The sequence below is a fragment of the Homo sapiens genome, chromosome 8 (assembly GCF_000001405.40).
Source record: "Homo sapiens chromosome 8, GRCh38.p14 Primary Assembly".
Taxonomy (NCBI): Eukaryota; Metazoa; Chordata; class Mammalia; order Primates; family Hominidae; genus Homo; species Homo sapiens.
In genome coordinates, this window is record NC_000008.11 from 4,850,633 (window position 1) to 4,876,819 (window position 26,187).

A 26,187-nucleotide genomic window follows, 5' to 3' on the forward strand; every position below is an offset into this window, starting at 1 on the left:
GACTCTTCCATCAGAACAAAGTCCTTGCTCCTTACCCCCTTAGCTTTGTCTCTCTCTCTCTCTGGATGAAGTGCAGAGTGTCGTGAAGCAGTTGTGTGCACTCATTGTTCCAGTACCTCAATTTTCTTTCAACCCCAAACCTAGTGGCTTGCCTATTATTTTACCCAAACTGCCCTCAAAAATTCAACCAGTGGCATCCTTTTGCTGAATTCAATAAAGTATGTTTAGTCCTCATGTCACATGAACCTTTATGCATTGAAGATTGTTTCCCTTGCCCCCCCACTTTTTGTGGTTATTTTTTTATCCTTGTTAATTTCCTTTTTTTAATATATACACTTTGAGTTTTAGGGTACATGTGCACAAAGTGCAGGTTAGTTACATATGTATACATGTGCCATGTTGGTGTGCTGCACCCATTAACACATCATTTAGCATGAGGTATATCTCCTAATGTTATCCCTCCCCCCTCCCCACACCCCACAACAGTCCCCGGAGTGTGATATTCCCCTTCCTGTGTCCATGTGTTATTATTCAATTCCCACCTATGAGTGAAAATATGCAGTGTTTGGATTTTTGTCCTTGGCAATAGTTTGCTGAGAATGATGGTTTCCAGCTTCATCCATGTCCCTACAAAGGACATGAACTCATCATTTTTTATGACTGCATAGTATTCTATGGTGTATACATGCCAACTTTTCTCGCCCCCTTTTTAAGCTCCTTCTTTCACTGGCTTTCATGATCCCACCAATTCCTGCTTTTCCTTTTTTGTTTTTTTCCTGGCTGCATCTTCTTCGTCAATTTCTTAAATTCTTCCCTTGTCAACCTCTATTTTTTTTCTTTTTTGATATTTGAGTATTTCATCCATGGCGCTTCTCACTCCCCTATACATTCTCCAGGGTTGAGGTAGTCTACCCCCATAGGTTCAGAACCTATGACCTGTATCTTCAGTTGGCATTCAATAGCCTATCCAACTCCATGTGGGAGTTTCATAATAATCTATGGGATTACCTGACTTCTCAATGTCTCCTGCTCTCCCTCTCCTCACTAAGAGTCCCATTGTGTGGCATCGGCAATCACCCATATGACTAACAAGAACCTTAAGACTTCTTCTTCTTCAAAGACAGGTCTATTGAGATGAACGTACTTTTAAGTCACCCTCCCCTTTAACTTGTGTGATTAAATGTTTCCCAAGATAATTACAGAGTGAAGCCACCATCACTAAAATTAGATTTCAGAATATTTCTCACACCCCATAGAGAAAATTTATACTCATTTGCTATCACTCTTCATTCTCCCTCTGCCTTGTACACAGGCTGAGTAAACCACTAGTCTAAGTTTTTTCCCTATAGATTTAATCTCTCTCTGGACGCTTGATCTGTCACTAAGGTCTAACCTGTAATACCTCCTCAGCAGGGCTTAATGTGTATACTTCCTTACATCAGATTCCCTCTCTCTTTATATCTTTTACTTGTGAAACTGCTATTTTCTCCCAACTGGGAACACCATATATGTTTGTTTACTCTAATCTATTTTTGCCAGCATTGTTCTATAACAGTAAACATACTTATATGGTTTGGATATTTGTTGCCTCCAAATCTCAGGTTGAAATGTAATCCCTAGTTTTGGAGGTGGGGCCTTGTGGGAGGTGCTGGGGTTGTGGGAGCTGATCCCTCATAGATGGCTTCCTGCTATCCTTGCAACAGTGAGAGAGTTCTTGCAACATCTGGTTGTTTAAAAGTATGTGGCTCCTCTCCTCTCTCTCTCGTTCTCACTCTTGCTATGTGATGCACTGTCTGCCCCTTTCACTTCCAACATGATTGAATGCTTGATGAGGCCTCACCAGTTGAGGCCTCATCTACAGGTCAGCCAATTAAACCTCTTTCATTTATAAGTTACCTAGCCTTGGGTATTTCTACATGGAAATTCAAAAACAGCCTAATACAGAAAAATGGTACCAGGAGTGGGATGTTGCTATAAAGATACTTGAAAATATGGAAGTGGCTTTGGAACTAGGTAATGGGTAGAGATTGGAAGAGTTTGGAGGACTCAAAAGACGACAGGAAGATGAGGGAAAGTTTGGAGATCCTTAGAAACTGGTTAAGTGGTTATAACCAAAATGCTGATAGAAATGTGGACAGTGATGGGCAGGCTGATGAGGTCTTAGATGAAAATGAGGAACTTACTGGGAACTGGAGTGAAGGTCACCTATGTTAGGCCCTAGCAAAGAACTTGGTTGCATTGTTTTCAGGCCCTAGGAATCTGTGGAAGGTTGAGCTTAAGAATGATGAGAGGGTACATGGCAGAAGGAATTTCTAAGCAGCAATGCATTCATGATGTGGCCTGGCTGCTTATAACAGTCTACACTCAGATGCAGGCACATTAAATGACTTAAAGTTGGTACTTATATTTAAAAGGGAAGCAGAGCATAAACATTTGGAAAATTTGCAGCCTACCCATGTGGTAGAAAAGAAAAGCATGTTTTTAGTGGAAGAATCCAAGTGGGCTATGGAGCAAACACTTTCTAGAGAGATTTGCATGACTAAAAGGGACCCAGGTGCTGCTAGCCAAGACAATGGGATAAAGCCCTGGAATGCATTTCAGAGATCTATGAGGCAGCCCTTCCCATGACAGGCCCAGAGGTCTACAAAGAAAGAACAATTTTATGGGTGAGACTCAGGGCTCTGAAGCCAGGAATGCAAGGTGGCTGTTCCCTGCATCCCCACTGCTCCAGCTCTATCCATGGCTCAAAGTGCCACAGGTACAGCTCATATTGCTGCTTCAGAGGGTGCAATCCATAAGCTTGGCAGCTTCAACACAGTGTGATATTAAGCCTGCTAGTGCACAGAATGCAAGAATAAAGGAGGCTTGGCAGCTTCCACATAGATTTCAGAAGATGTATCAGAAAGCCTGAGTGCTCAGGCAGAAGGCTGCCACAAAGGTAGAGTCCCACACAGATATTTGAATAGGGCAGTGCCAAAGGGAAATGTGGCATTGGAACCCCATGGAATGTCCCCACTGGAACACTACCCAGTGGAGCTGTGGGAAGAAGACCACTGCCTTCCAAACTGAGGAATGGTAGATCTAACAGCATCATGCAATCTCGTCATGGAAAAGTCATAGGCACTCAACTCCAGCACATGAAAGCAGCCACACTGCACCCCACAAAGCCACAGTGGACCTGACCAAAGCCTTGGGAGCCCACTCCTTGCAGTAGTGTGACCTGGATGCAGGACATACAGTCAAAGGAGATAATTTTGGGGATTTAAGATTTAATGACAGCTCTGCTGGGTTTCAGAATTATGTGGGGCTTATTACCCCTTTCTTTTGGCCATTTTTTTTCCTTTGGTATGAGAATATTTACCTAATTCCTGGAACACAATTGTATCTTGGAAGTATGCAACTTGGTTTTTATTTTACAGTCTCACAGGGGGAACGAACTCATCTCCAGAAGAGACATTGGACATGAGACATAGAACTTTTGAGTTAATGCAGAAGTGAGTTAAGATTTTGGGGGCTATTGGCAGGAGATGATTCTATTTTGCAATGTGAGAAGGGCATGAGATTTGGGGATGCAGGAGTGGAAAGATATGATTTGGGTATTTGCTCTCTATAAGTCTTATGTTGAAATATAATCCCCAGTGTTGGAGACAGGGCTTGGTAGGAGGTGTTGGGTTGCCGAGGCAGATCCCTCATAAATGGCTTCCTGCTGTCCTCATAGTAGTGATTGAATTCTCAAAGGATTTGGTTGTTTAGAAGCGTGTGCCACTCCGGATCGAGCCAAGATGGCCGAATAGGAACAGCTCCGGTCTACAGCTCCCACTGTGAGCGACGCAGAAGACGGGTGATTTCTGTATTTCCATCTGAGGTACCGGGTTCATCTCACTAGGGAGTGCCAGACAGTGGGTGCAGGTCAGTGGGTGCGCGCACCGTGCGTGAGCTGAAGCAGGGCGAGGCATTGCCTCACTTGGGAAGCGGAAGGGGTCAGGGAGTTCCCTTTCTGAGTCAAAGAAAGGGGTGACGGACAGCACCTGGAAAATCGGGTCACTCCCACCCGAATACTGCCCTTTTCCGACGGGCTTAAAAAACGGTGCACCACGAGATTCTATCCCACACCTGGCTCGGAGGGTCCTACACCCACAGAGTCTCGCTGATTGCTAGCACAGCAGTCTGAGATCAAACTGCAAGGCAGCAGCGAGGCTGGGGGAGGGGCGCCCGCCATTGCCCAGGCTTGCTTAGGTAAACAAAGCAGCCAGGAAGCTCGAACTGGGTGGAGCCCAGCACAGCTCAAGGAGGTCTGCCTGCCTCTGTAGGCTCCACCTCTGGGGGCAGGGCACAGACAAACAAAAAGACATCAGTAACCTCTGCAGACTTAAATGTCCCTGTCTGACAGGTTTGAAGAGAGCAGTGGTTCTCCCAGCAAGCAGCTGGAGATCTGAGAACGGGCAGACTGCCTCCTCAAGTGGGTCCCTGACCCCTGACCCCCGAGCAGCCTAACTGGGAGGCACCCCCCAGCAGGGGCACACTGACACCTCACACGGCAGGGTACTCCAACAGACCTGCAGCTGACGGTCCTCTTTGTTAGAAGAAAAACTAACAAACAGAAAGGATATCCACATCAAAAACCCATCTGTACATAACCATCATCAAAGACCAAAAGTAGATAAAACCACAAAGATGGGGAAAAAACAGAACAGAAAAACTGGAAACTCCAAAAAGCAGAGCGCCTCTCCTCCTCCAAAGGAACGCAGTTCCTCACCAGCAACGGAACAAAGCTGGATGGAGAATGACTTTGACGAGCTGAGAGAAGAAGGCTTCAGACGATCAAATTACTCTCAGCTACGGGAGGACATTCAAACGAAAGGCAAAGAAGTTGAAAACTTTGAAAAAAATTTAGAAGAATGTATAACTAGAATAACCAATACCAAGAACTGCTTAAAGGAGCTGATGGAGCTGAAAACCAAGGCGCGAGAACTACGTGAAGAATGCAGAAGCCTCTGGAGCCAATGCAATCAACTGGAAGATAGGGTATCAGCGATGGAAGATGAAATGAATGAAATGAAGCGAGAAGGGAAGTCTAGAGAAAAAAGAATAAAAAGAAATGAGCAAAGCCTCCAAGAAATAAGGGACTATGTGAAAAGACCAAATCTACGTCTGATTGGTGTACCTGAAAGTGATGGGGAGAATGGAACCAAGTTGGAAAACACTCTGCAGGATATTATCCAGGAGAACTTCCCCAATCTAGCAAGGCAGGCCAACGTTCAGATTCAGGAAATACAGAGAACGCCACAAAGATACTCCTCGAGAAGAGCAACTCCAAGACACATAATTGTCAGATTCACCAAAGTTGAAATGAAGGAAAAAATGTTAAGGGCAGCCAGAGAGAAAGGTCGGGTTACCCTCAAAAGGAAGCCCATCAGAGTAACAGCGGATCTCTCGACAGAAACCCTGCAAGCCAGAAGAGAGTGGGGGCCAATATTCAACATTCTTAAAGACAAGAATTTTCAACCCAGAATTTCATATCCAGCCAAACTAAGCTTCATAAGTGAAGGAGAAATAAAATCCTTTGCAGACAAGCAAATGCTGAGAGATTTTTGTCACCACCAGGCCTGCCTTACAAGAGCTCCTGAAGGAAGCACTAAACATGGAAATGAACAAACGGTACCAGCTGCTGCAAAATCATGCCAAAATGTAAAGACCATCGAGACTAGGAAGAAACTGCATCAACTAACGAGCAAAATAACCAGCTAACATCATAATGACAGGATCAAATTCACACATAACAATATTAACTTTAAATGTCAATGGACTAAATGCTCCAATTAAAAGACACAGACTGGCAAATTGGATAAATAGTCAACACCCATCAGTGTGCTGTATTCAGGAAACCCATCTCACGTGCAGAGACACACATAGGCTCAAAATAAAAGGATGGAGGAAGATCTACCAAGCCAATGGAAAACAAAAAAAGGCAGGGGTTGCAATCCTAGTCTCTGATAAAACAGACTTTAAACCAACAAAGATCAAAAGAGACAAAGAAGGCCATTACATAATGCTAAAGGGATCAATTCAACAAGAAGAGCTAACTATCCTAAATATATATGCACCCAATACAGGAGCACCAAGATTCATAAAGCAAGTCCTGAGTGACCTACAAAGAGACTTAGACTCCCACACATTAATAATGGGAGACTTTAACACCCCACTGTCAACATTACACAGATCAACGAGACAGAAAGTCAACAAGGATACCCAGGAATTGAACTCAGCTCTGAACCAAGTGGACCTAATAGAAATCTACAGAACTCTCCACCCCAAATCAACAGAATATACATTTTTTTCAGCACCACACCACACCTATTCCAAAATTGACCACATACTGGGAAGTAAAGCTCTCCTCAGCAAATGTAAAAGAACAGAAATTATAACAAACTATCTCTCAGACCACAGTGCAATCAAACTAGAATTCAGGATTAAGAATCTCACTCACAACCGCTCAACTACATGGAAACTGAACAACCTGCTCATGAATGACTACTGGGTACATAACGAAATGAAGGCAGAAATAAAGATGTTCTTTGAAACCAACGAGAACAAAGACACAACATACCAGAATCTCTGGGACGCATTCAAAGCAGTGTGTAGAGGAAAATTTATAGCACTAAATGCCCACAAGAGAAAGCAGGAAAGATCCAAAATTGACACCCTAACATCACAATTAAAAGAATTAGAAAAGCAAGAGCAAACACATTCAAAAGCTAGCAGAAGGCAAGAAATAACTAAAATCAGAACAGAACTGAAGGAAATAGAGATACAAAAAACCCTTCAAAAAATTAATGAATCCAGGAGCTCGTTTTTTGAAAGGATCAACAAAATTGATAGACCGCTAGCAAGACTAATGAAAAAAAGAGAGAAGAATCAAATAGACGCAGTAATAAATGATAAAGGGGATATCACCACCGATCCCACAGAAATACAAACTACCAACAGGGAATACTACAAACACCTCTACGCAAATAAACTAGAAAATCTAGAAGAAATGGATAAATTCCTGGACACATACACTCTCCCAAGACTAAACCAGGAAGAAGTTGAATCTCTGAATAGACCAATAACAGGATCTGAAATTGTGGCAATAATCAATAGCTTACCAACCAAAAAGAGTCCAGGACCAGATGGATTCACAGCCGAATTCCACCAGAGGTACAAGGAGGAACTGGTACCATTCCTTCTGAAACTATTCCAATCAATAGAAAAAGAGGGAATCCTCCCTAACTCATTTTATGAGGCCAGCATCATTCTGATACCAAAGCCAGGCAGAGACACAACCAAAAAAGAGAATTTTAGACCAATATCTTTGATGAACATTGACGCAAAAATCCTCAGTAACATACTGGCAAAACGAATGCAGCAGCACATCAAAAAGCTTATCCACCATGATCAAGTGGGCTGCATCCCTGGGATGCAAGGCTGGTTCAATATACGCAAATCAATAAATGTAATCCAGCATATAAACAGAGCCAAAGACAAAAACCACATGATTATCTCAATAGATGCAGAAAAAGCCTTTGACAAAATTCAACAAACCTTCATGCTAAAAACTCTCAATAAATTAGGTATTGATGGGACGTATTTCAAAATAATAAAAGCTATCTATGACAAACCCACAGCCAATATCATACTGAATGGGCAAAAACTGGAAGCATTCCCTTTGAAAACGGGCACAAGACAGGGATGCCCTCTCTCACCACTCCTATTCAACGTAGTGTTGGAAGTTCTGGCCAGGGCAATTAGGCAGGAAAAGGAAATAAAGGGTATTCAATTAGGAAAAGAGGAAGTCAAATTGTCCCTGTTTGCAGACGACATGATTGTATATCCAGAAAACCCCAATGTCTCAGCCCAAAATCTCCTTAAGCTGATAAACAACTTCGGCAAAGTCTCAGGATGCAAAATCAATGTTCAAAAATCACAAGCATTCTTATACACCAACAACAGACAAACAGAGAGCCAAATCACGAGTGAACTCCCATTCACAATTGCTTCAAAGAGAATAAAATACCTAGGAATCCAACTTACAAGGGATGTGAAGGACCTCTTCAAGGAGAACTACAAACCACTGCTCAAGGAAATAAAAGAGGATACAAACAAATGGAAGAACATTCCACGCTCATGGGTAGGAAGAATCAATATCGTGAAAATGGCCATACTGCCCAAGGTAATTTACAGATTCAATGCCATCCCCATCAAGCTACCAATGACTTTCTTCACAGAATTGGAAAAAACTACTTTAAAGGTCATATGGAACCAAAAAAGAGCCCGCATCGCCAAGGCAATCCTAAGCCAAAAGAACAAAGCTGGAGGCATCACGCTACCTGACTTCAAACTATACTACAAGGCTACAGTAACCAAAACAGCATGGTACTGGTACCAAAACAGAGATATAGATCAATGGAACAGAACAGAGCCCTCAGAAATAATGTCACATATCTGCAACTATCTGATCTTTGACAAACCTGAGAAAAACAAGCAATGGGGAAAGGATTCCCTATTTAATAAATGGTGCTGGGAAAACTGGCTAGCCATATGTAGAAAGCTGAAACTGGATCCCTTCCTTACACCTTATACAAAAATCAATTCAAGATGGATTAAAGACTTAAACGTTAGACCTAAAACCATAAATAACCTAGAAGAAAACCTAGGCATTACCATTCAGGACATAGGCATGGGCAAGGACTTCATGTCTAAAACACAAAAAGCAATAGCAACAAAAGAAAAAATTGACAAATGGGATCTAATTAAGAGCTTCTGCACAGCAAAAGAAACTACCATCAGAGTGAACAGGCAACCTACACAATGGGAGAAAATTCTCGCAACCTACTCATCTGACCAAGGGCAATATCCAGAATCTACAATGAACTCAAACAAATTTACAAGAAAAAAACAAACAACCCCATCAAAAAGTGGGCGAAGGACATGAACAGACACTTCTCAAAAGAAGACGTTTATACAGCCAAAAAACACATGAAAAAATGCTCATCATCCCTGGCCATCAGAGAAATGCAAATCAAAACCACAATGAGATACCATCTCACACCAGTTAGAATGGCAATCATTAAAAAGTCAGGAAACAACAGGTGCTGGAGAGGATGTGGAGAAATAGGAACACTTTGACACTGTTGGTGGGACTGTAAACTAGTTCAACCATTGTGGAAGTCAGTGTGGCGATTCCTCAGGGATGTAGAACTGGAAATACCATTTGACCCAGCCATCCCATTACTGGGTATATACCCAAAGGATTATAAATCATGCTGCTATAAAGACACATGCACACATATGTTTATTGCCGCGTTATTCACGATAGCAAAGACTTGGAACCAACCCAAATGTCCAACAATGATAGACTGGATTAAGAAAATGTGGCACGTATACACCATGGAATACTATGCAGCCATAAAAAAATGATGAGTTCACGTCCTTTGTAGGGACATGGATGAAATTGGAAATCATCATTCTCAGTAAACTATCGCAAGAACAAAAAACCAAACACCGCATATTCTCACTCATAGGTGGGAACTGAACAAGGAGATCACATGGACACAGGAAGGGGAATATCACACTCAGGGGACTGTTGTGGGGTGGGGGGAGGGGGGAGGGATAGCATTAGGAGATATACCTAATGCTAGATGACATGTTAGTGGGTGCAGCGTACCAGCATGGCACATGTATACATATGTAACTAACCTGCACAATGGGCACATGTACCCAAAAACTTAAAGTATATAAAAAAAAAAAAAGTGTGTGCCACTCCACCCTTGCTCTCTTGGCCCTGCTCTCGCCATGTAATTTGCTGGCTCCCTCATCATCTTTTACCATGAGTAAAAGCTCTCTGAGGCCTCGCTGGAACTTGAGCAGATGCTCGTGCCATGCTTTCTGTACAGCCTGCAGAATCATGAGCCAATTAAAACTCTCTTCTTTATAAATTACCCAGTCTCTGACATATTTCTTTATGGCAATGCTAATACAGCCTAACACACCTACTCACAATGTTTGAAATGTTCCTCATTCACTCTGGAATAAAGACAAATACATTTATGTAACATACAGTGCTCTTCGTATGGGCATACGTTCCTGGTAATTTATCACTACATCCCTGATAATACCAAATTGCAACTTCCTGTAATCATTTGCAGTGTCCCCAACACAGCATAATTATTTCTGCGTAAAAACGTTCACATCCCTGCTTCTCCTGCTAGAGAAACCTTCCTCTGACTCTACATAGTGAATCTCTGTTCATCCCTCAAACTTCAGCTCTGATATCCTCAGTTTCAAGAATGTAAACCTGTGCTGCCAAAAATTCACGTTCTCACTACTATTGTAATACATATTCTAGGTGCTTATTTATCTATGTCTCCTTTTCCTCTAAAAGCTCCTTTTGTTCTAAAGCTCCAGAATCTTATCTTATTTTTAGGGGCCAGAAATGTTTCTTGAATTTAGTACGTATTTAGTGAATGTTCGTTGAACAAATACATAAATGGAAGTTGATAATAGATTCTGACATTTATCTCAGAGACCTGCTCTAATCTATTTCATTACTTCTGTAGACAGTAATATATCTCTGCGGCTATACATTCAGAAAGTCACAGCAACAAAGGTACAGTATGCACATAATCGTGAACTTACATCCATATCAAACAAAAATGTGAAGCTTGACATTTCAGGCTTTATGGGTTCAATAGTTCCTTCTGAAGGCAGCTTGACTCTATTACTACGCTGTAAACATCCAGAAACATGTGAAGAAAGCGACCAGAGTTCTTGGAAGTGCTCGTAGACAACTAAGCAATCCTTTATGTATGTTTGTATGATGTGTCTGCGATTTAGTGTCAAGTGAGGGGTATGGAGAAAATGACATAGGTGGATGTTACGAAGAAAAATGCAAACACTATTTAGGATTGTCAACTGAAGTTCTTTGAACAGAGGCTGTGGATAATTAAAATTTGTCTAAAATATATATGCATTTAAAACTTTGTGGTATTTTCTACCACATAACAACACAGTGATCTCAAAAAATAGGTTAATTTGCTTTAAATATGGCATACGTTAAAGAATGTACAAAGGATGTACATTTTGAACAAAATGTCTAAGATATAAAGCTCTAAATAACTTTTTGCTCAAAATTTATTAAAGAATTATGTATTGATTTCATAATATGTGTGAGAAACAATGGTTAGTTCTCAAGAAGCAGAGGAAGAGAGACAGAGGGAGAACCTGAAGAACTTTCCACTTATTATACTTACATTTCAAAACGGGGATGCAACAAATATAAATAAATATATAGAATATTATGCATTAACTAGTATTGAACATGAAAATAAAGTAGGATTTTGGAGTTACTGAACAGGAGGGATTGCGTTTTAATACAGGATGCTCAGGGAAATGCTACTGGGAATGGCGTCTTCTGATCCAAGAAGGAAGGAAGGAGTGAGTCAGCTCTAAGGGTCTGGGGACAAGGAGGCATCAGGGAGTGAACGGGAGCTGAGGTGGGAGTGGTTTATTGTTCCTTGAACCTCAACGAGGCCTGGGGGGCTTGAATACAGAAAGTGAGGTAGAGAGGAGTGAACGAGATGAGCTCACAGAGGTACTGGGAGCCTGTAAGTGAGAGTATCAATGTCCATCATCAGAACCTTATGAATGAGATGGAAAATTATTAGAGGGCTTTGCACAGATGGAGAATTAACTTGATTTGGCTAGCAGTAGTTCTTTCAAAGAATCACTGTAGCTGTGAAGTAGATGATGAACTCTGTGTTGGGTAGAGGCATGTGTGACTACATTAAAAGTAAAAAGAATGGTTAAAAGTCTGCAGTGATAAGCAGTGAAATATCATCGTGGTTTGGACGAAGAAGAGTAGTGGAGGTGGTAAGAAGAGACTAGATCGTGGATATATTTTGATGTTAGAACCATTAAAATAAGATAAAAAATTGGAATACGGTTTTAGAGAAAAACAGAAACCAAGGAGGACACCAAGTTTCTTGAATTAACACCTGCAAGTGCCATTTACTGAGATAAGCAAGGCCATGGGAGGAACTGTTCAAGGACGTCTGGGCCGGAAATAAAAACACAGTAGCGACAACTTGGAAAAGGTTCTTGGAATCATGAAATCCGGTGACAGCCTAAAGGGATTTGGGGTAGCTAGAAAGTTGAAGACCTCCCAAGTGTGACTCCAAGTCTTAAGATGTTCAGAAGTCAGGAACATGAGGAAGGACTGGTAGAGCCGTGGGAGACACAGCACCAAGAGAGGCTGGAGGGAAACTAAGAGAGATAATGGCCACAAAGCCAAGTCAGGGTGCCCAAGAGGGAACCAGCAAATACCCCCGTAGATCAAGGGGAACACACTCTGACAGCGACCCTTGGGCTTGACAATGTGAGGTCCCTGGTGATTCTGGTGAACACTGTTATAGTAGCCGGAAAGCTCAGTGGCTAGGATCATGAAAAATGAAATAATAAATTACTGAGTTTACATTAATAATTAGAAATATGAATTGACAAGGTGCTTCATTTCTCTTCACCTCAGTTTTTACTATTCATCTCCAAAATGAGGAAAAATAATCATGTGTTTTGAGAATTATCTGAGAATACATATACAAATTTTTAGAACGGCGCATGGTATATAAAAAGCTCTCAATAAATGGCAGTTATTGTCATATTATCATAAAATCATAGAAGTCCTTGGCCAACATTATTATGAATGCAAGCCTTAAGTAAAGAGAATGCCTTTGGCCCTCCCCATGAGACTCAATAGACCAGAGCATGAATCCAGATTCTAGAACATTCATTTTTAAATTTTATACATATTCTAGTAACATTTAGTTCAGTGTTGAATATTTTAATGAAAAGGGTAACTCATTCCTATTGGTATCCCATATTCTCATTCCTGCATTTTTTTAGCAACAATTTTGCACAATCTCTTCATATTCTCACAAAAACAACACTCCCACCTCTCCATATCCACCCAGGGGACACAGCAAGAATGTCTAATTTGAATCTAAATGTGTGCATATCTTAGATTTAATTAATCAACAATAAAAGACTTATCCTTTGAAAAATGTATACAATGTAACTTGTGCTTTTGATAAATGTGTTGATTTGTATATTTTCTTTACTTGGAGTACATTTGAATAGAACATGAAAATCCTTTAGGAAAAAGAAATGAAATTTTTTATACTTTTTCTTGATTTTATTCTGCCTTCACAAAATTGTATAAATTAAATTAAAAGCAAAAAGGAAGTGAAATGTTATTTTTCTTCATAAATAAATCCTAAAATAAATGTCAAGACATGATTGAAAAATGATTCATATTTTATTCAGTACATGTCTATATATGGCAATATGCTTTACATTAATAGCATGTTTATTTCATGGACCACTTTTTGCCATGTTACAAGTAAAAAAGTGTAATTATATAACTCAGTCTATAAAATTATAGTTGAAAACTTTGTCTGGGTATTTTTTATTAAATTGATCACTTCTGTGGATTTTCCCGACACCTCAAATAATAATGAAGTACAACCAAAACAGACTGAATTTCAAGTTGCTAGTAAAGTGTCCAAAATAACATACTTAGCATTTTGAGAAATACATACCTACACACACAAAGACACACACACACAAATTTAGAACTAAAAAAGGATGATGCCAAATTGACGACATATAATTAGAATGAAAACAAAAAACAAGTAATTACGTAAAAATGTATTTGTCTTTCAATGGTTTAAAAAATATCACTTCCTTACTTTACTATATCCACAAATTTGCCTTTAATTATCTACTTCAATAGACAAAAATCATTGCTCAGAAACCCTATAACATTGTTTGATTTCTATTTAGTTTTTGCATATGTGATTTTTTTATGGGCAGAGTGATCATCATAATTATGTTTTGCCAGAGTTCATAATGATCTTTATTTTATATCATTATTATAGTTACTAGCTTTATTAATTTTAAAATTGTATTCAATGAATACACACAAGCAGATATTAATAGTTCTACTAACCTGGTTTAAATAAAGGTCTCTGCAGAAACTACCTTTGAATTTTAAAAAATTCGAAGTATATTTTCCATATGAGTCATAACAATTTGATTATTTTCATACGTTAGCTAAAGCAGATAATTTTTGTATTCTCTGTAATCTTTTCATTGTATATAACATTTAAAGTAATTGGCCTAATATCACTGAAATATTGGATTCTACTACACACACACACACACACACAAACACACACACACACACTTGATATAACTGTTCTACAACACTGGTATTCTGAAAGACATATTTAAATATTATAATATTATTATATAATTTGAAAATTTAGTCTGATTTTTTAAATTTTAAAATTTTATTTTTGTGTTTGCTTTATTTTTTAAATTTTTATTTCAATAGGTTTTGGGGTACACGTGGTTTTCTGTTACCTGGATGAATTATGTAATAGTGATAAAATTCAAAGTTTTATAACATTTTACACAACTAATCTTATTCTTGTTTTACTTTAATGACATGTTCTAATATCATTCTCATGCATAATGATAAGTCCTTTATTTAAAAAATTAAATACTTGTACCAACATAAAACTTCTATGTTATTCATCCTAAGAAAATACTACATACTGCTTCTGTTTTGAATAAAGAGAAAATCTCATTAAGAATCTCGTAACTTACTGCAAGACGAAATCAGCAACTGACTTGTCATTTTCTTTCTGCCTATAACTGATGACTTTGAGTAATATATACACAGCTTCAATAGGTTGTCATTTTCTTTCTGCCTATAACTGATGACTTTGAGTAATATATACACAGCTTCAGTAGGTTTCCTCGTACTTTAAACATGATGCAACAATATATTAGAAAATCACTTGGAGAAGAATGTCGCTCATCACCCCAACATGGAATGCAATGATTCCAATTTCCACTGTTGCATACGCCTTTTCAGTTTCCATTTTTACGAAGATCTAAGTACAATGCACTTCAATTTTGCATTTTTATTTTTATAATCATTGGGAGGGGTACTTCCATCAATCAGATTTGTTCTAATGCAAAATGTATCTAAATTTACTTAATATAAGAGAGAAAAGCTCAACCCTAGCCCCAAACAAAACCTCAATCTATGCATTGCCCAGTTTTTTAAAAGGTCCTCCTTTAAAAATTAATCTTCTTTCTTATGCATTTTGGGACCTATTTTTTCCATTTAATTTTAACCAAATTTAATCATAGGTTTGAAAGAAAAATCACTGAGGAGCTTTCATCTTCCTGTGTAGATAACTTGAAAATTTTTTAAAAATATATTTACACAGGAAGTCCTTGAGATGTAACTTAATAGCAACATCTAAATTTAAAAGGCTGGTATTATGTCATATTAAGTCTCTCAGTTTTTGACACCTTAATGGTTCTGTGCCTATGTGAACCATCAATAACAGTAATCCAACTGCACTACTAATTCAAAGTGACTAGAATTATGTCATCCTATGCTGCAAAGTTTATGACATCTGTTTAAGAGGTGGATGACCACCATTTCATTTAAAATGAAAAGCTTTCTATAAAAACTTAATGTACCAGGCTCTCTTGAAATTCACATTAAATCTCTTCACTTTCTTGGTTCTTAGTACTCTTGCAAATATTTTATTATCTAGTGATCTATTGACTTCTCCAGAGATTTCTTTACAAACTGACAACCAAAAATAACAACTACTGTCTTTGAAGAGTAACCTCCTGTGGTTAACATCTCTCTAATTGTTTCTCTAAGATAATCTTGATAAAAGAAGTTTGTTCTATTCTCTTTTGTTTTTTTCTTTAAAAAGTGCATTTTAGCATCTACTTTATGCTAGGTACTTTTAATCCCCACAACATAAGTGTTATTGGCTTTTTTAACAACTAAATAAATAGAAACCCAGAGAAGCTCAGCTCTTTCCCCAATGACACACAACTTATAAGTAGCTGAGTCATAACCTCAAATGAGATTCATATGCTGGTTCTAATGCTCTCTTCTCTTTACCAGATTTACAATGAAATAAATAAAAAATAAGATACTAATTTAACACAAACAATAATTTTCAACCTCGATCGTTCAAACTCATTTTTTAAAATTATTATAAACACAAGGTAATGGACGAAAAGCAAAAATATTCCAATGATACAGGATCCTTACCTTTTCATGATTTTTAAAAATTATAACTTTACCATTAATATAAAACTTTTACATTTTGTGACCTCCTTAATTATAATTTATTTGCCATTATTTTAATGGCAAAAACCACAATTACTTTTGCACCAACCTATATGGAACAATCTTAAATACTAGAGACATTGTATTTCCTCAGCATATTACTACTCAATTCTCGGCAGGCTTTGATTGCGTTTTTGTTTTTTGCTCAAATTAAGCCATACAGAAAGTAATATTTTGCTTAGAATTTAAGAAAATAAAGTGACCCTTGTGATATGAACTTCATGAACTACACACATATTATTTATATTTACAATTTATTTAACCACTGTGACAGCAAAAAACTAAAAAATGGTGCATCGTTCCAATCATTTGCCAAGCTAAGAAAGCTGGAGTGTTTGGGGGTTGTTAAATATGCAAATTGATAAACACTCCCTACTCATCAATGTGCTTCTGGAAAATTAATTGCCCCACTGTTTATATCTTGTCATTGAAGAGCATTCGATTAATTTCTTTCCTCTTTAAATAGTTGGCCAACACTTAATTATTTGAAAGGTATTACTAAGATGCAGAACTTAAATACACCCCTGTAAATAAAGACATTCCAATAAAGTATAATTATTTATAGGCAGCAATTATCTGAGGCCAACACTCTTCCTATCCCAGCCAACCTCGGATATAATTTTTTTTACCTTTGAGTAAGCAAATTGCAAGGGATAGTCCCAGAGCAGCCATAATTTCGCTTTTTTCATCAGCGCTGTATTTTTGTATCACCTTGCACTTAACTTTATTATGTCGCAATGCCAGATTGGAAATAGAATGATGGTGCTGAGAAAAGTTATATGTTTAGAATCCCTTGATTTGTGTGTGTGTAAATTGTCAAACAAAATGCCGTATTAGTATTCAATGCAGTTAGGTTTTTAGTAGCTTAAAGATAAGAGTGTTTTGATCCCTCTAATAAATACATTCATTTTACTACATGTGGCAACATTTAACAGAGTGTAAATTCTCAATATTTTATATCATTACAGTATTACACATTAAATATGTTGCCACAAGACACGGAGTTGAATTTTCGAGCTAAGACCCTACTGTCTACGTGTGTGTGTTTCTACAAGTGCCTTAGATATTTACACGTTTGTACATCCTTTAAATTCAGTTCACAAAACTGCTAAATGCGGAAATGGCTCTTGAAAAATCACTGCTTTCCCTGGATCTCTACTTTGTCTCTTATTTACTGGAAAAAGCAATTTAAAACGACCTCTCACCAAACTGCTGTAGTTGCCTTACCTGCAAAATTGAGAAATAATGGGTTGATGGGAGAATTAAATAAATTTACATATGCAAACTGTTTAGAAAAATGCCTGAGCCTACTCTGTATGTTATTTTATTAGTCGTATTATTTTCTTTCCTTTAAGACAGAGTTTCACACTTTCACCCAGGCTGGAGAGCAGTGGCGCGATCTCGGCTCAGTGAAACCTCCATCCCCTGGGTTCGAGCGATTCGCCTGCTTCAGCCTCCCCAGTAAACTGAGATGACAGGTGCACACCACTACACCCGACTAATTTTTGTACTTTTAGTAGAGACCGGGGTTTTGCCACATTGATCAGGCTGGTCTCAAACTCCTGACCTCAGGTGATCCGCCTGCCTCGGTCTCCCAAAGTGCTAAAATGACAGTCGTATTATTTTCATATTAGTGTTAGTGGGATCATTATTGTTACCGTTATTATTAAAAAACCAATCATTTTCATTCGTCTAAATTGAGGCATAATGAACAAGTGTTCAATCATCTACTTAATTCTGAAGGTAATTGAAAATTATTACCTAAGAATAAAAACACAACTAACAGTATGGTGTCTTGGTCGAAAGTATTTGATGCGGTACCAGTTAGAACTAGATTTGACACTGGTGACTGTCAAATATTGGCTGTGTAAGCTTGTAAAAATTGTAAAAAAAAAGCTTGTAAAAATATCATGTGCTGTATCAGCTCCTCTACAAAATAGAAATTGATAACCAATTTCAGATGATTTTTGAGAGGATTGAATGAAGTAATATTTGCACGTTTTCTAACAGGGCAATCACTCATATGTGTGTAGTTATAGGTATAGATTATACCTATATACACACAGAGACATACAAATAGAATAGATGATATAAAGATAATATATATACATTTTATATTTTGTTATATATTACTACATACCATTTCCAAACATTATCATCAGTTTCCAGTTGAATTTTAAAAGAGAAACAATTTCTCATTGTATTATTTTTAAATAAATTTATAAATGTCATCAAATTTGTGACACAAAATAAATCTATCTAGTAATAAATATGGCAATAATAATTTTGTACACCTGCTATAATTTAGAACTGTATTTTCCCATAGAAAAGCATCTGTGTGGCTATGAACGTATATATTATCATTTAACATAGTGCTAATTCCATCCTGTTTTATCATTTGATGGAAACAGTGGAGGAGTTGTGTCTGTAGGGAAACTGGATCTCTTTCCTTTATGTTAATGCTCTCTGTATTTTAATCACTCGAATTTCATAACTTTGAGTTACTTGACTTTCACTTACCAAATATTTGGTAATCACTAAATTTTAATGAAAGCATATATCTGCAACCAGACTATATAATGCAGTCAAAAGTTTAAACTCAAGGTAGTTGATATCTAGGATAGTGTATCTATTTATATTTTTTTACTGCATGGCTGTTATGAAAAGCCTATTTTGTGTTAAATGTTGTAGTTTAGTTAATGATCACATTCTTTAAAAAGTATGAATTTCTTCTTATATTCTCTGCTAATACAGATTTTTAAAAAACATTAGGGCACCATTTTCTCTGATTATTAATCTTGAAAATACCTTCCCAATTCATGAAGTAATAAAACGTTCCATGGAATAGAGCAAAACCAAAAGCAAACACATTCTACTTACACATCTGTTTCTTTATTGTCTGCCTGATGTTAATTATGGCTGGTCTTTAATTTATCATATATTCTCTCTCTCTTTTTTATATTCTCTTTTTTCAATGAAAAGAAGTTAATGTTAGATTTAAGAATTTTAGAGTATAAAAGTGGTCTCTTATATTGTCCTAATCTACAATAATCTTATAATTGGTTAAGGTGACATTTAAGAATTGAAAATAATGCATAACACATGTCCGTTTTTATGGACAACCGTAAAGTATGTATTCCTGTGTACCAGAACCGCAGACTTCAAGACTTTTGTGAATAAAAGTGATATTCAATATTGCACACTCTTGATTTATTTATATTCAGTTAATCTAATTACATATACTTATAAAATGTTTAAACATCATGGAAATTTATAAAGTAAATAATGAAAAAATAACTGTTAATTCCCTGGTCCTTCTTCATCCCACAACTCAAAAGTAAAAACTGGAAACATCTAGGTTTCCCTCTATAACTTTTTATATATGGGTAAAAATTGGAACAGAAAGACCCACATCACTTTTGAAAACTAGGCAACAATCATATTTTTATGCACTGCTATTTATTTCACCTAACAAGAGTTCAGAAACCCTTCAACAGAGCTAGACCTCAATTTTCTTAAAGGATGCATAGTATTCCATAACTTGAATGCACTGAAATGTATAGAGCCAGTCTTTCTTTTGATAGACATGTTTGGGTTTTCACTGTCACATGCAACTTGGCCAAGGAGTCTGCATACATTCCTCTTCTCGTGTGTCAGTCTCAGCCAGGCTTCTCTAGAATCAGAGCAGGAGGCAAGCTTTCAGTGTGGATACTTTATTAGGAGGTAAAATCCCAGCGCACCACGAGTGAGGGAATGGAGAAACAGAGTACAGAAGTAGGGAGAGCAAAGGGAAGATGTCACGGGACAAAGCCAGCCTTTGCCTTCCAGACATTCATTTAACTATGTGAGCCTGCTCCATTCAGGCTGAGCAGAACCCTGGTCCTCGGAAAATGCCACCGAGGAAGAAAGAGCGAGGAGTGCATTTGCTGGCTCCCCTCTGCTTCAGATGAATCCAAGTTTGTCCCACAGTTCCTGATTGTGTCACCTGGCCCTTTGGGCTTCAACCATGGAGCCAGGTATCACACACTGCAGGGATGGAGCCTCATTCAAATCCCCAGTGCTGAGAAGAGTCAGGGACTCAGGGGATGCCACAGGGTCTGGTCTGGGTGTCAGAGCTGTGCTCACCCTGGGGAGCTGGGAGAGTCAGCAGTGCTGGGAGGTGAGGCAGTTGCAACAGCTCTGGCCTGGGCCATGGGAGGAGGCAGTAGCTGGGGCTGGGAGATAGGTGCAGCCGTGATGAGAATCTAGGGAAGGCAAATAAGTAGCATGGGATTCATCATGTATGAGTATTTCCATAGGATTTTGTTCTAAGAAAGGAAGTGGGTGGTCCAGAGCTAGCATGTGGCTATTGTGACAGCCCATTTTCTTAGGAAATTTTAAATTTCCACTGCAATGCACTTCTTGCCTTCTTTCACGGATTTAGATTTTCTGATGCTTCCAGCTATGCATATTGATATAAATGGCATTTCCAAAGCCCAACAGGTATTTTCAACCTGAATACATTTATCTAACACCATGAGTTCCAGTACAGTGGCAATTCCCGCTGAGCCACATAAAGAAAGATGCGTGTGAATATAATCAAGTTGACCCAACGCCCGTGTATCTGTAAATGAATGGTCTCACCAAGCACCCAACATATTAGTGTTTTGTTTTTATGTTTTGCTTTTATTATTTTTGATAAGGCAAAGATCAAATGGTTTTCATGAAACAGTTGGAAAGCCATAGCAGTAACCCAGATAGCAAACAACTCTTCTTTAGGAACTATATCATAAAATTAAATATTAATGAATCTAGCAAAAATCCCAAGTAGCAGCTCAATGCATAATTTCAGAGTTCATATTATTGTATGGGAGCTTATTTTTCCCTCTTTTGAAACTGTACATTTAGATTGTACACTTTTGAAAAACCTTTCCAGTAACATCAGAGGACAGGCAGGTTCTGTGCTTGCCAGCAGGTCTCCAGTTGGTCATTGCTTGATGGATGACACCTGTCTTTCCTTGCAATTCTGTACTCTGTCTCTGGTTTTCATTTACCCACTATCTCTATGGTCTGGACCAAGCATAGGTGACAGCAGCACGGCCCCAGCATTTTGCAGAAACACATCGTGCTGATCATTTGCAAAATCCTCATGGCTCCTGCAGACAATATTAATAAATAACTTGCAAATTCCCTAGTATGTGTCAGGCTCTGTTGTCACTGCTTTAAATATATTAACTCATTTTATCCTCACAACAATGTATTGAATATGTAGCAAATGAATGCAAACTAAGGCACTCTGTGTTAGCCTGTGTGACTCAAGTAAGGCATAGAGGCCTTGGAGTTGGGACGACAATATTTACTTCCTTTTTCTCTGTGTGTGTTTTTGCAATACTGCCTGATATGGTTAGGCTTTGTGTCCCCACCCAAATCTCATCTTGAATTATAATCCCCATCATCTCCACATGTCAAGGAAGAGAACAGGTGGAGGTAATTGAATCATGGGAGTGGTTTCCCTGATGCTGCTCTCATGATAGCAGGTGAGTTCCTATGAAGTCTGACGGTTTTATAAGAGGATTCCTCCCATCACTCAGCACTCCTTCCTGCCGCCTTCTGAAGAAGGCACCTGGTTCCCTTTCACCTTCCACCATCATTGTAAGTTTCCTGAGGCTTCCCCAACCCTGCAGAACTGTGAGTCAATTAAAACACTTTCCTTTATAAATTACCCAGTCTCAGGCAGTTCTTTACAGTGGTATGAAAACAGTCTAATACACTGCCTCAGAAATTGCGAGAGTAGAATTCACAATACAACTTGCAAGGAACACAGAGACAGAAAGAGACAGAGAAGAGCCTGTGGATTAAAAGATAATTAAAAGATATCTTGCACATTTATAATTCATAGTTCACTTTTTGTGATCAAACCTTCTGTGTTACTGTTTTTGCCCTTTATGAAACAAGTTGAAATTTGAACACTTGCTGGATATTGGCTCATACTGGAGTAGTACTGGCGAATACTTTGTGCGATGTCTGAATTTTTTGACATATGTTTTATTTTATTTCCATCTCTATTGAAGTATGACTGGCAAACAAAAATTGTATATATTTAAGGTGTACAGTGTGTGATGCTTTGATATATGCAAGCATTGTGAAATGGTTACCACAAATCGTATATATTTAAGGTGTACAATATGATGTTTTCGTATATGTATACATTGTAACATGGTTACCAAAATGAAGGTATATAACATGTCATCTGATTCTATAAAATGACATGTTGGTCCTGATTCATTTCAAAATGATAGGAGGTGGCAACAATGAGTAATCTGTATTTAATTATTGGGGTTTGGTGGTGGGAATTTTGCAGAGGTTTGAAATTCACTCAGATCAAAATCTCTTAAAAACTATCTAAAAAATGCCTTTTAAAATTCACATTCGTAGACCCATTCCAAACAGTGAGATATGTGTGTTTGGTTTGTATGAACATGACACGCAGATCAGCGATAGAGGAGAGACTCCCGGACACTCAGCAGGAAATCAACTAAGACTCTAGAATCTAACTCAGAGAATATTCCCTTCTTGAGAAAAAATTCCAGAAATTTTACTTCTTAAAACTGACCTTAGTGGAACTGGAAATGCTTCAACTTGTGTGTAGTATCTTAACAGCATCTAAGAACATATGATACTTCAAAGTTGCTGACAAGAAACAATTCAACTTTTTTCAAGGCTAGAAATCTAATTAAGCAATCGATCAATGTTCATTCCTCCATTCAACTTTCCATCTATCCATTCAGTAAACACTTATTGATGATACAGTAGAGAACTAATCAAACTAAACCAATATTTGGCTTCAAGGAGCTCAAAGCCTTGAAAAATATGTAGCACCTATTTTATAGAAAGTAGCACTGTGTTTGAAGCTGGAATCAACATAAAGGCCATTTCTTATAAGTTGTTTTATATTTTACTCTATATAAAGGTGATTAGATGAATACTTTTTGAAGCACTACGGCTTTTAGACAAGGCAATTAGAAAGAAGAAAGGAAAGAAGGAAGTATGGAAGGGGAAAAAAAGCAAGGAACTATTTCAAGCTATAAATATGCAATCTCATTCGGAGTAAATAACCACTATATGTGTTGTAATCGCATGATTAGTCTATCATCTATCTATCTGTGTGTCATCTACCTTTACCTTAAAACTTTAACATAGGCAAGCACCGCATCAGGCCTTGGTCTGTAGTATTCCACACCTCAGCTACTGATAGATAACTTTATCTTTTTCAAAATAGCTTTATACTTGCATCATAATGAATGAACAATGAACATGTGTGATTAATAAGATCAAGAAAGCCACTGTATAATTGGCCGTGGTTTTCATCAAATTACGTGGGATACTGCCTAAAATCGCATTCTAAAATCTAAATTTCTATTTATCAATTAGTTTATTTTAATTTGCAGTACTTATTAATACATAAATGAAAAGAAAGGGATGGTGGAGGAGATCTTTCAATCCGATTGTATTTTTTTTTTTTTTTTTCTGAGACGGAGTCTTGCTCTGTCACCCAGGCTGGCATGCAGTGTTCCATTCTCGACTCACTGCAATCTCTGCCTCCCAGGTTCAAGCAGTTCTCCTGCCTCAGCCTCCTGAGCAGCTGGGATTACGGGTGCCTGCCACCTCTCCCGGCTAATTTTTGTATTTTTTAGTAAAGATGGGGTTTCACTATGTTGGCCAGGCTGGTCTCGAACTCCTGACCTCAGGTGATCTACCCACCTTGGCCTCCCAGAGTCCTGGGATCAGTTGGCATCTTATGTAGAATAGCTAACAGTGAATTTACTTATTTTTGAATTATATCTGAATTCTTAACACCTTAAGTTATATAGATGGATATTTCATATAGACAGAAAGAAATAGAGATAGACTTTTTGTGTGTGTATATATATATATTTACACACACACTTAATTCTGGTTTATATATATATAATATTAAATATAGTATAGTGTATATATAGTATAGAGTATAGTGTATATATAGTATATACTATATTAGATATTTCCACAAGCTTTATTTTTCATTTCATTTTTATCTTTTGCTTTTTTCTCCTTTATTTCCTTCTTTCCCTTCCCTTCCCTTCTTTTCTTCCTTTTCTCCCTTCCTCTTCTCTCTCCCTCTCTGTCTTTCTTTCTTTCTTCCTTTCTTTTTTTGTAAGAAAATCTTTCCTGGTATTTGGAATTCAGAGTAAATACAGAAGCCCTCCTTCCCTCATGGTAAGGTAGTATGTGCTCTGCCTACAAATCTTGAAAGATTCGTGTCTCTTTCTCTGTACAGTAGTACTTTAAAAGCTGAGAAGGAAAATAAGCATGAGAATTATATATGAACAAGCGCTATACCCAAGTCCTCTGGTAATATACAAGCTCACTGATTCTCAGTTCGAAAATATGATATGACCTTGTAATAACATGCGACGGTTATTGAATATTTTGGAACTGAAAAGTGACTTGTTTTCTTCTATCAAGCCTTTATTTCTCCAGAATAAATTGTTAAACAGGGGAGGGAGTTCTATCCTAAATATGAATTAAAGCTAAAAGCCATTTTACATGTTTGGATGCAAAGCGTCTCACTTGAGCAACTCCATGAGATGAAGCTTTGGCATTTGTCTAGCGCCATCTACTGTCCAACTCAAGCAGAAGCATAGATCTTGTCACCATGATTCGAAGCTGGTTTTGCCCTCTAAGCGTAGCTTGAGTTGTTTGCAATAGGATATGATTGGAAAAAGAAGAGAAATTACAACAAATCTGAGAAAAGTAATCAGTTATAAACCTAAGTAGAGCTGAGAAACCAAGATAAATACTAACAAATATGTATATAGGTATGCTCAAACAAGCAACCTTAAATTCAGAGGATAGGGAACTCTAAGATATAATGGTTTGTATATAAAAATGAACACACAGAGACAGACACACACACACACACACAAACACTAGTATAATCTGAAATAATTTATGAAAGCCATTTAGTGAATATTTAATTACTCAAAAGAGTCTTTAATAGCAACAATTTAAAGAATTTTCTTCATTAATAAGAGATGCTATTTTTCACATTTTCTTATGAACACGATTTTTATTTTTATAGTAAAGAGTAAAAAGTTAGAATTTTAGTAAGGGGAAAAAACCTATCAATTCAATTCTTCAGAAAACTAGCAGATAGCCTAATGAGTATAACAAAAAAGTACAGTAAGTTCAGCTTGGTTTGAACAATGGTAAAATTAAGGAATACAAATGACTGCTTAGTCTATTTCCCTGCTGGGTAATAACATAAATTTACCTAAATATGTAGGCCACTTTTGGAGCTCAGTCTTTCAGTAATCTGCTACTGTGGTATAATATTACCCTCCATGACAATTCATATGCTGCAATCATTGCTTCTTTAAAGGAGAGTGGTATTCATGGGCAACAGAATTAACTTAAAATCTACAGGTAACAAACAATTGTGAAAAAATGCATACCTCTCTGAAATACAGAGCAAACCGTTAAAGGAGTACAAGTGGCCTGTTTTTGTAAAGATCTTTACTTCATACATACTAAGAACAATTTTAAAAATTGTACACTTAGTTATTGGAATTAGATTGCTTTTAACAAGACTATGTGTAAACATTTAAGCAAATCAGCACATTTCAATGCTTTCTCAATTTTCACCGTACAAGGATGCTTATTCATAATATAGCCTTTTTTTGTAAACTTAGCACATCAGTTCACAATAGGTTATTTAGGAAAAGCACAATGCAATGTGTTGTGTTTTAAGTGCCGTTAGGTGCATATAGTCTCCTTCTGTGCTAATTTCTAAGACAATATCATGACCTCTTTCTTGTGTGCTGAGTGTACCAGTTTACATCTGGAGTCATTTCTCAGTTTTTTGGGGGTGTTTTATTTTTCCTTCTCAGATCTAAATTAGT

The 26,187-nt window shown here is 37.6% G+C and overlaps 1 protein-coding gene across 3 annotated transcripts in view, besides 1 other annotated feature; it reads right to left on the bottom strand.

The window, feature by feature from the left end:
• The window catches only part of CSMD1 (CUB and Sushi multiple domains 1), a 2,059,554-nt gene that overhangs the window by 1,915,272 nt on the left and 118,095 nt on the right, over nucleotides 1-26,187 (bottom strand). The gene's annotated exons all lie outside the window — the stretch shown is intronic.
• Nucleotides 4,078-4,651: an enhancer, noted in NCBI's record as "H3K27ac-H3K4me1 hESC enhancer chr8:4712232-4712805 (GRCh37/hg19 assembly coordinates)". NCBI's record gives its function as "activates a minimal SCP1, AML or CMV promoter by ChIP-STARR-seq in primed H9 embryonic stem cells {active_cell/tissue: H9 hESC(primed)}" and the evidence as "EXISTENCE:reporter gene assay evidence [ECO:0000049][PMID:30033119]".